The sequence below is a fragment of the Homo sapiens genome, chromosome 11 (assembly GCF_000001405.40).
Source record: "Homo sapiens chromosome 11, GRCh38.p14 Primary Assembly".
NCBI classification, from domain to species: Eukaryota; Metazoa; Chordata; class Mammalia; order Primates; family Hominidae; genus Homo; species Homo sapiens.
In genome coordinates, this window is record NC_000011.10 from 102,284,986 (window position 1) to 102,296,941 (window position 11,956).

Sequence of the window (11,956 nt, forward strand, 5' to 3'; positions counted from 1 at the left end):
ACTCCAGCCTGGGCAACAGAGCAAGACTCTGTCTCAAAAAAAAAAAAAAAAAAAAAAAAAAAAAAACTGCCAACGGGACCCAATCTTCCTAAGAGGGTCAGTGGACCTTTAAATAGCAAGACTTGGGCTGTTCTGAACTCCAGGAATATGGAGCTAAATAGCCAGAAAGATGCCAATGAAGCTGGCACAGCCGTTAGGATTTCTATTCAGTTCTGCATGTTCCTTTACTATCTATTATTTGGCTTGAAAAATCTAGGGCCCAGACTATAAGAAAGACAAAACAGAATGGAAGCTAAGATGGCCAGTTTTTATAGTAAAAAATCTATTCCAAGGGGATTGGGTTGACACTTTCTCTATTTGCAAATAGAGAAAAGTAAATTAAAGAAGAAAAAGCCACACAAGGTATTTTTTTTCTGAACATATGTATTTAAAATATTTGTCACTGCATTTTGACTTATTCAAATTGTTTAATATGATATTTGTTGGTTGTATTTTTAGTAAAATGGAATTAAAGGCAGTTTGTATTTTGGCAACCTATTTTGTTCTGGTATCTTGGAGAGTGGAGTGAGGGGAAGACGATCTGAGAAAATTCTGGCATGGGGAGAGATGAGGAATGGGAGTTCTTTTTCACCTTCTAATGTTCTTGAGAATGCATCTCTTGGGGCTCAGGAAACAATACCCCAAATATGGCACTTTGGCCTCCTGAGTACTTTGATTTTTTTTGTTTGTTTTTTTGAGATGGAGTCTCACTCTGTCGCCCAGGCTGAAGTGCAGTGGTGTGATCTCGGCTTACTGCAACGTCCACCTCCCAGGTTCAAGTGATTCTCCTGCCTTGGCCTCCCGAGTAGCTGGTGTTACAGGTGCCCACCACCACACCCAGCTAATTTTTGTATTCTGAGTAGTTTGAACTAAAGGAGATTGGAAAGCCTCAGAGGCAGTTTAAGGAGCAAAGTCTCAGGGGCTCACGCCTGTAATCCCAGCACTTTGGGAGGCCGAGGGAGAAGGATCGCTTGAGCCTAGGAGTTCAAGACCAGACTGAGGAACATAGGAAGACCACATCTCTACAAAAATTTTTAAAAATAGCTGAATGGGGTGGCACATGCCTGTAGTCCCAGCTACTTGGGAGGCTGAGGCTCTCGAAGGATCTCTTGAGCCCAAGAGGCTGAGGCTGCAGTAAGCCCTCATCGCACCACTGAGCTCCAGCCTGGGAGACAGAGCCAGACCCTGTCTCAAAAACAAACAAAAAACTCCCCAAAACAAAGAAGCAAAGTCTTTCTCTGACCTTCTCCCACCTGTCTGTTTCCCATCCACCTTCCTTCCCTGAAGTGAGTCATAGAACCATAATTCCTCTTCCCAACTTTGGGTCATAGAAATTAGAATCCCTCTCCCTGCAAAGTGAGCCATAACATCTAGAAAGGTTACTCTCTCCCTTCTCCCTTGAACACCCTCATTCAGGAGGGGTGCTGCCTCATACCAGAGAGGAAAGAATGCTGCACAGAGAGGCCAAGAAGAATCTGAACGGACAGGACTTGCTGGGTTTCGCTCCCCAGTCTCTGACTTTCATCCAATCACATTTCTACGTGGTTGTCCATTCTTCATCAAACCTAAGAATAAAAATAGAAAGTTTTTTCTGGGTCTTTGGGTCTTCATTTCTGAAGGCTCCTGTGTCATCACAAAATACTTTGATTAAATAAATTTGTTATGCTTTTCTCTTGCTAATCTGTCTTTTGTTATAAGAGTTTTGGCCGTGATCCTTATGAAGGGTGAGACAAACAATTTGGAAATGGCATGCAAACAGATAGGACTACCTCCATTATCGTATGTAAGAATAGCAATTATGGGCCGGACATGGTGGCTCATGCCTGTAATCCCAGCACTTTGGGAGGCCAAGGCCGGTGGATCGCCTGAGGTCAGGTGTTGGAGACCAGCCTGGCCAACATAGTGAAACCCCATCTCTACTAAAAATATAAAAAATTAGCCGGGCAAGGTGGTGGGCACCTGTAATCCCAGCTACTTGGGAGGCTGAGGCAGGAGAAGTGCTTGAACCCGGGAGGCAGAAGTTGCAGTGAGCCGAGATCGCGCCATTGCACTCCAGCCTGGGCGACAGGGCGAGACTCTGTCTCAAAAAAAAAAAAAAAGGGGAGTTATTAATTTTATTAATCACATGATGGAGTCTTTCTGGGGAGAACAGGTGGCTCCCAAGCAGGTCCAAGCATGGCTTGAGAGAGCAGGGAAAGGAGACTGACTCTGCTTTTACTTGTGATTAGAGGGTAGGGTTCTTACTTGGCCAAGGCTTGCATGGTTTGAACTCACTTTCAGTGCCAAAGGAGGAAGCACTCAGGATTTCTTATCACCCCGCCCAGAGGTGGGGCAAGGAGAAGGAAGTTGGCGGAGGGGGAGGGGGGGCTTGAAAACTGTCAGCAAACATCAAAAATGGAGTCAGACTATGAGAATAAAAGAGTTTAAAAACCTCCTGTTTACTTTTTTTTTTTTTTTTTTTTTTTGAGACGGAGTCTCGTTCTGTCACCCAGGCTGGAGTGCCGTGGCGCGATCTCGGCTCACTGCAAGCCCCGCCTCCCGGGTTCACACCATTCTCTGGCCTCAGCCTCCCGAGTAGCTGGGACTACAGGCGCCCGCCACCGCAGCCGGCTAATTTTTTTTGTATTTTTAGTAGAGACGGGGTTTCACCGTGGTCTCGATCTCCTGACCTCGTGATCCGCCCGCCTCGGCCTCCCAAAGTGCTGGGATTACAGGGGTGAGCCACCGCGCCCGGCCCCTGTTTACTTTTTTTCTCTTTCTTTGAAATGGAATCTATGTTGCCCAGGCTAATTTTGGAACTCCTGGATTCATCTTTTCTACATTAAAAGATAATTTTCACTTAAAAAAGGGAACAAGTAGCTTTGTGTATTATATTTAATTTTGGCCTCCAAGTTTGAAACATCTGAACTGTCAATTAATGAGGTCTACACTACCGCTATGGGGCTTGGGACTTGTCTGTCCCTGGTTAGAATGTTTCACTAGGGAAGAGACTTCAGAATCTCTCTTGTTACTGTTAAATAGTAGCGGGCACATAGTAGACATGTTGCAAATATTAAATGGATGGCTGGTGGATAAATGGATGGATGAGTTCAAGAGAGTTGCCACTAGATGGCACTGTTTATTTGGATCTGTGTTGCAAATTTTCACAGGCATCTCAACAGTCCAGGGGAAGGTGGTGGCTATTCTTCGGGATCACGTCAGCCACGTATGTCTGAACTCCCCTGATCCTGCCCCGTTATGGCTGCTCCTTCATCCCCCACCAGCCCTCGAGGGGGTTGAGAATCATGAAATTTTCTCCTTGGAAATAATCTCAGATATTATCTATTCTATTGCAACTCCCCAAATTTTCAGGCTAACAAAATGGGGGGCAAGCCGTGAAACACTGCAGTGGGAGTGTAGCTGTCAGCAATTGATTTAGTTCAGATGTCTCAAACTTAGGAGCCAAAAATAACGATAATATGCTGAGCTATGTGTTCATTCAGAAAAAAACAAAAACCAAAAAACAAGAATTTCCTGCAGCGGACTTAACACCTGCATCCTGCGCCCACCATGATCCAGCCCCTGCAGTTACCATGCCCCTACTCCCCCAACCTCCCCCGACCTCCATCTGTTGTAGCAGACCCAGAAGGTCCTTCCCTAGACTTACATCTAATATTTACGTTTCACTCCCCGATAAGCTGTAAGGATCCCTTGCTTTCTGCAAATCGACTAGGTCTGCCATTTTCATCCTTAAACCTGACCTCCTTCTCCATTTGGCCTCAGGCCCAGCTGACCTGGCCTTGTTTTCCTCATCATAAGTGACAGTTTTTTAAAATCTGAAACATTCTAGTTGCAAATCCCATTACTGCCTCTATAGAATCCTGCGGTTTTGATTTTATCTAATCCCAGCATTTAACAGCAACTGGGCAGCTCTGCTATATCCGGGCCTGTGGTAGTCTCATTATCATGCATTTTAGCAATTATTCAAAATGCACCTTTTCACATAGAAGAAGAGTAAGTCCAAGTCCAATCTAGCCATAATTCATTCACTCATTCAGTAAGCATTCACTACATGTATATTACATAGAACCGGGTTCGGTCATTGTTTATAAAAACAAATAAGGCATTTCCACTCCCCAAAAGTAGACATGCAATCAGATAAAGTACAATCAAGTACATTAAATGCTTAGTAGTCTAATGAAAATAAATAGCAGCGTCCTTTATCAGACTGAAATGAAATATTGTTCTGCAATACAGACCACTGCAACTCTGAGTTTTCATCTACAATATAAGAATGATAAACTCTACCTCCCAGGCTAGTATGAAAACTCAAGAGTGAGTGTGGATATATAAACAAAATTTCCTCAGTACAGCTCTTGGCCTACAACAGGTGTTCAATAAGTACTGTTCCCTTCTCCTTCTCTATAATAAAGGTATAAACAAAATTTTGTGGGAACACAGAGGAGGAAGGTTGTAAGAGTTTCCTGAAAACTCTGCAATCTGAAGCACAGAAAAAGAAGAAAGTTGTAGGCAGGGGGCAAAGTAAATAGAGAGATGCATCAGCTGGGTCCTCCGGGAAGCAGATCTGAGACAGAGTTAGTGCAAGAGGCTTAGTGGGAAGTAATGCCACGAAAAATGAAAGAGACTGGAGAGGCGGTGTTGGGTGGAAAAGCTCAGACAACGTTGCAGATCTGAGTCTCCACCCACCCAACAGAGAGCTCTGGAGCAATAGTGCCTGTTAGAGGAGTCCTGCATTTTGCAGAAATATCCAGGCCCTGGTTCCCCTCCAGGAAGAACATGACCTTAGCTAAAAAGTGGCAGATTCTGGAGGTAGTAACAGCAGAGGCTGCCAGCTCACTGCATTCTTGGCAGTTGAGCAGCAAAATTTTTTCTTGAAAAGAGATCTGAGGGGCACACCTCTGTGTCTGCCACAGTATTTTGTTCTACCTCCTTCTAAGACTTACAGAGTGCCAGTATGTCCAGATGCTGTGCCAGGCACTTTTTTCATTTATTCTTGCAACAGCTCTTTCAGATGGATAAGATCCCCACGTTTCAGATAGGCAAAGTGTGTTTCAGTCCATGCTCTTCCCCAGTGGCCTGCTTAAAACAACGTCAGTGGTGGTGGTTGTCTGAACCAGCAGAAGTTACTCCAGGGAGTGAACCTAACACAAGATTTGGATGCAGGGAGACACAAGCTGAAGGTAAACTGGAACTGACAGGTTCTAGTCAAAATAGTAGTGACCCTGATGGTTCAATACTCTTGAAAGAGAACTTTCAAAGATAATAATACATGGTTCAATTACCTATGGTGTAATTGGGATCACGTATTTCCCTTACTTGGAATTTTCCATGGCTTTCCATTTGTCTTAGTCACATCAGGCTGCTCTAACAAATTGCCATAGGCTCAGTGGCTTAAACAACAAACACCTGTTTCTCACAGCTTTGCAGGCCAGGAAGTCCAAGATGGAGGCACTGGCAGGTGTGGAACTTGGTGAGGGCCAGCTTCCTGGTTTACAGATATCTATCTGATTTGTATCCTCACATGGCAGAAAGCAGGGAGAGAGGAAGCAAACTCTCTCCTGTATTTTCTTATAAGGCCACTAATTCCCATTCATGAGGGCTCTACCCTCAAGACCTAATCACCTCCCAAAGGCCCCACCTCCTGATACCATCACAGTGGTGGTTAGGCCTTCAACATATGAATTTTGGGGAGCATAACTTTCCTCTATAACACCATCAGACTCAGAATAAAGTGCCTTATCATGGCCTTCAAGGCTCTGCTTGTCCTGGCCTTGCCTGAGCCTCTAACCCAGTGCTTCTCTTGCCCCCCGGGGGACATTTGGCAATGTCTGGGGCCTTTTTTGGTAGTCACAGCTTGGGATGGAGCAAAGGAAGGTGTTACTGGCATCTAGCGATACAGGCCAGGGATGCTGCTTAACATCCTACAATGCACGGGACAGCCCTCGACAAATAATCGTCCAGCCCAAAATATCAGCAGTGCCAAGGCTGAGAAGCCCAGCTCCCTCCCCTCCTATTGCTTCTCTCTCCTTATTCACTCCACTCCAGCCGCTAGCTCAGTGCAGGCCTCGACACATGTTCCCACTCTCTGGAAGCTGGCTTGTCTTCCCACCGCACCTCTCATGTTCAGGTCTCAGCTCAGATGCAACTTCCCCAGACAGGAGGCTGGCAATCTGTTCAAGGCATGTTCCTCCCAACCTCTCCTGTTATCTTCGCTCCCATCCCCCTGATATCTTTCTCCATGACACTCACCATGATTCACAAATCCAGATTTATTTGAACTTTGCCGTGCTTCTTTCTTGCTATACTATGAACTCCACACACTATATGTCCATCCATTAGTAGGTGCTAAGCATATTCTATGTGCTGAAAACATACTTGAGTGAATTAATAACATTTTCCAGAAAATGCCTTGGTTTGGGGAAGCTAAATTCCAGATGCATTTAGAGGGAAATTTCATTGCAGTTTAGTTACAGTGTGGCACTTATCATTTATTTTATTACTGATTATCCAAATTTTTGGCCATCAGCATGTTTTCAGAGACTGTCTTATAATATTTGCTTTGCCGTGGAGAACACCTCATTATTGCGATGGCCTTTCTTGCCCACCTGCCCACCCACCTCCTGCACTCCCCCTGGCTACCCTGGCAGTGCTCCTGTTCCTCACGAGCACTAGGCTCAGTCCCCTCCAGGGCTCCACACTTGCTGTTCTCTCTGCCCCTAGACCTTCCCACATGGCTCACTTATTTCAGATCTCAGCTCAAATATGAAATCTTCCTGGTTTACAGAAAGCCCAGATGGGCTTTCCTGAGCATCTCTCTAGAATCATCACTGCTGTCTCCTTCCTATCCCACTGTCTTTTCTTTTGGAGCATATCCACTATCCACTTGTGCACTGTCTCCCCAACTACAATGTCTGCTTACCAAGGACAGGACTTTGCCTGTCTTGTTCATGGCATCCGCAGCCCCTAGAATAGGGCCTCTGGTAAAGACTGTTGAGTGAAGAGTTCCAGAACACAGAGAAAGGTACACAGCAGCAGTAATAAGGATGAGCAACCTCTGTGCAGCAACAACTGTCCACCCTCTAAAAAGCTGCTTTCAGAAAGGAAGGGGCAGATTGTCCAATTTTCTCCAGTAAATGCTGCTACCATCTTCTCTGCTAGGAAGGGCTTTTTTAAAATTTTAATTTAACTTAATTTAATTTAATTTAATTTAATTTAATTTAATTTAATTTGAGATGGAGTCTCGCAGTGTCGCCCAGGCTGGAGCGCAGTGGCACGATCTCAGCTCACTGTAACCTCCGTCTCCTGGGTTTAAGCGATTCTCCTGCCTCAGTCTCCCAAGTAGCTGGGATTACAGGTGCCCACCACACCTGGCTAATTTTTGTATTTTGAGTAGAGACGGGGTTTCGTCATGTTGGCCAGGCTGGTCTTAAACTCCTGACCTCAGGTGATCCACCTGCCTCGGCCTCCCAAAGTGCTGGGATTACAGGTGTGAGCCACCACGCCTGGCCAGGAAGGGCTTATTTTGAGCCCAACCTGGATGAATTTCTCATGTGTCCTGTGGTATCTCACTGCCTCCTCAGCACACCACCTTGTTATTCTTACAGAAGGTGTGGTGCCAACAGCAGTGAGTGAGGCTACCCAAGCTTCCGGTGGGGAGGAATATTCTGGAAACAGAAGGACACAGATAGAAGGAGTTACAACTGATCTTATACTCTTGGTCATAACTCTATTATAATCTTAGGTCTAAGTCTCAGAACTATGAAACACTCTTAGGACATTCTTAATGTCCTTAGAAACTAAGAAAAACTTAGGAAGACTTGTCATATAAGGGAAGAGCCAAATGAATGATGTTCACAGTTCTGAATCATGTCAAACAGATAATCTTCATAGTGGCGTTTTAAATTTTCTCACCATAAGATGAGGACAGAGATCCGCTGTACCGTTCAGTGCAGGCTATGCAATTGGAAAAAATAGGAGGATAATTCTTCTTCAGTACTTTCTAGTCTTAATAGGGCCGCATTTTCTTTTGTTACTAAATGTACAATGTCACATCTTCTATTCTTGTTGCCAGATGAATGTGATCTAGCACAATACTATCCTGTTAGCATTTCTATGTAAATATGAGTCAGTGGTATTATGCTGAGCTGGAAGTTAAATAAAAAGTAATTAACCACAGGCCGGGCACGATGGCTCAAGCCTGTAATCCCAGCACTTTGGGAGGACACAGTGTCTCATGCCTGTAATCCCAGCACTTTGGGAGGCCAAGGTGGGCGGATCACCTGAGTTCAGGAGTTTGAGACCAGTGGCCAACATGGCGAAACCCCGTCTCTACTAAAAACACAAACATTAACTGGGCATGGTGGGCACCTGTAATCCCAGTTACTTGGGAGGCTGAGGCAGGAGAATTGCTTGAACCCAGGAGGCGGATGTTGCAGTGAGCAGAGATCGGCCACTGAACTCCAGCCTGGGTGACAGAGTGAGACTCCGTATCCAAAAAAACAAAAAGAAGTAATTAACCACAAAGACAATTACAGTTTACGTAGGTGTTTACAAGTCTGAGACGGTGGGAAAAGTTGACCTTTTTTAAAAAAAACACCTAACATTCCCTGAAATATCTTGACCTTTTAGAGCTGAACTACAATACATGGTTTCACACTTAAGATGAAATTATGCTCATATTAACATCAAAATATCTGGTTTGTTTTTTGGACTTTCCTAGTCTTTGCAGTCATATTAACAAAACGAAAGAAAAGTAAAAAGTAAAAGTAAAAATACCACGAAGCTATAGATTACTTTTTTTTTGTATTCTTTAATTTTATTTTTTTAAATTTTACTTCAAGTTCCAGGATACATATGCAGAATGTGCAGGTTTGTTACATAGGTATACATGTGCCATGGTGGTTTGCTGCACCTGTCATCTAGGTTTTAAGCCCCGCATGCATTAGGTATTTGTCCTAATGCTCTCCCTCCCCTTGACCTCCACCCTCCGACAGGCCCTGGTGTATGATGTTCCCCTCCCTGTGTCCATGTGTTCTCATTTTTCAGCTCCCACTTATGAGTGAGAACATGCGGTGTTTGGTTTTCTGTTCCTGTTTGGATTTTTTACTTTAACACAACACGTACAAATCTAGGCTTCACTGTCAGATTTTGCTTTCTCACCACTAGAAGGTGCTAACAACACCATTACATGTTTCCAGTGTGACAAACTGTAAGAAGCCCAGCGAGCTCATGGGGAAATATATTCATCTGTTTATTTTTGGCAAATTTACTGAGAGTAGTTTGATTTGAAACAATAACATATAGCAATCTGTTTCCTCTCTAATGGGAAGGCACCTAATTATCCATTTTGTTATTAATATTCAATCTAGAAAAGTGATAAAAAGAATGCATAAAAAATACAATTATCTCTAGATTCAAGTATACAAAATAAACTGATGCATTCTCTTGGATTTAGTGACAATGCTTCTCGAAATTTGTACCAAGATAAAATATCAGAGGGGTGAACAAAAAATGAATGGATAAGATGTTCATCTCAACATTGTTTAAAGTACTATATAATGGCTATGTTACATAACTTCATACAGTGGAACACTGCGGCCATAAAAATGATGGTGAAGATTGTGTTTATTGCCATGGAAAGCTATCCATGCAATATTATTGTTGTTATTATTTTAAATAGAGATGTGATCTTGCTGTGTTGCCCAGGCTGGAGCACACTGGTGTGATCATAGCTAACTACAGCGTTTAACTCCTGGACTCAAGCAATCCTCCCACCTCAGCCTCCCGAGTAGCTGGGACTACAGCATGCTCCACCATGCCCTGATAATTATAAAAATTTTTCAGTGATAGGGTCTCACTATATTGCCTAGGCTGGTCTCAAACTCCTGGGCTCAAGCAATCCTCCCGCCTCAGCCTCCTGAGTAGCTGAGACTATAGGCATGTGCTACCATGTCCAGCTGATGCAATATTATTAAGTTAAAAATGCAGGCTACAGCTCTTTTTCATGGTGGCTCGAAGGCGATCAGCTGCTTCAAGATGAAGCTGAACATCTTCCTGGCCACTGCCTGCCAGAAACTCATTGAAGTGGACAATGAACACAAACTTCATACTTTTTATGAGAAGTGTATGGCCACAGAAGTTGCTGCTGATGCTCTGGGTAAAGAATGGAAGGGTTATGTGGTCTGAATCAACAGTGGGAACGACAAACAAGGTTTCCCTATGAATCAGGGTGTCTTGACCCATGGCCATGTCCACCTGCTGCTGAATAAAAGGCATGCCTGTTACAGACCAAGAAGAACTGGAAAAAGAAAGCAAAAATCTGCACGTGGTTGCATTGTGGATGCCAATCTGAGCATTCTCAACTTGGTTATTGTAAAAAAAGGAGAGAAGGATATTCCTGGACTGACTGATACTATGGTGCCTTGTCATCTCGGGCCCAAAAGAGCTAGCAGAATCTGCAAACTTTTCAGTCTCTCTGAAGATGATGATGTCCACCAGTGTGTTGTAAGAAAGGCTTTAAACAAAGAAGGTAAGAAACCTAGGACCAAAGCACCCACGACTAAGTATCTTGTTACTCCACATGTTCTGCAGCACGAATGGTGGCATATTGCTCTGAAGAAACAGAGAATTAAGGAAAATAAGGAAGTAGCTGCAGAATATGCTAAACTTTTGGCCAAGAGAATGAAGGAGGCTAAAGAGAAGCATCAAGAACAGATTGCCAAGAGACGCAGACTGTCCTCTCTGTGAGTTTCTACTTCCAAGTCTGAATCTAGTCAAAAATAAGATTTTTTGAGTAACAAATAAATAAGACAGACTAAAAAAAATGCAGGTTACGAATTGTCATTTAATATCTCATTTAAATAAAGATATGATAAAGAAAAGCACGGAACATATTCACTGAAATGATGATTGTCTCTAGACAGTGTGATTATTTGTGATCCTTATTATCTGGTTGTGTGACCCTGAAAAAAAAACTTAGCCCCTCCGTACCTCTCAGTTTCATCATCAGCAAAATGGTGGCAATAATATTTCCTACCTCATGGCTAATATGAGGAATTTAACATATTTACATATGTAAAGCATTTAGAAGAGCACTGAACACATCACACATACTAAAAAACTATTAGCTATCATACTCATTATCCTAATTGTCCATATTTTCTAATTTTATGATGGTGTATGTGTTATTTTTATAACCAGTAAAGACAATAAACTACTTTTTTCAAAAAGATAGCTCTCACAGAGGAGGAGGGAAATAAATTCATTCCTATCTATAAGAATAGTGGCCGGGTGCGGTGGCTCACGCCTGTAATCCCAGCACTTTGGGAGGCCAAGGCAGATGGATCACCTGAGGTCAGGAGTTCAAGAGCAGCCTGGCCAACATGGCGAAACCCCATCTCTACTAAAAATACAAAAAGTAGCCGGGCGTGGTGGCATGCGAATGTAATCCCAGCTACTTGGGAGGCTGAGGCAGGAGAATTGCTTGAACCTGGGAGATGGAGGTTGCAGTGAGTGAGATCACGTCACTGCACTCCAGCCTGGGCAACAAGAGCATAACTCTGTCTCCAAAAAAAAAAAAAAAAGAAAAAGAAAAAAGAATAGTAAGTCACTTAATTCCCATTTACCCAAAAAGTTAAAATAGTCAGATGCTTTTTAAAAAATTATTATTATACTTTATTATAGGTATATGTGTGCCATGTTGGTTTGCTGCACCCATCAACTCGTCATTTACATTAGGTATTTCTCCTAATGCTATTCCTCCCCCACCCCCCAGTCCCCCGACAGGCCCTGGTGTGTGATGTTCCCTGACCTGTGTCCAAGTATTCTCATTGTTCAATTCCCATCTACAAGTGAGAACATGTGGTGTTTGGTTTTCTGTCTTTGTGATAGTTTGCTGAGAATGATGGTTTCCAGCTTC

At 43.4% G+C, this 11,956-nt stretch overlaps 1 pseudogene; it reads left to right on the forward strand.

The window, feature by feature from the left end:
• RPS6P17 (ribosomal protein S6 pseudogene 17) lies at positions 10,034-10,854 on the forward strand (annotated as a pseudogene).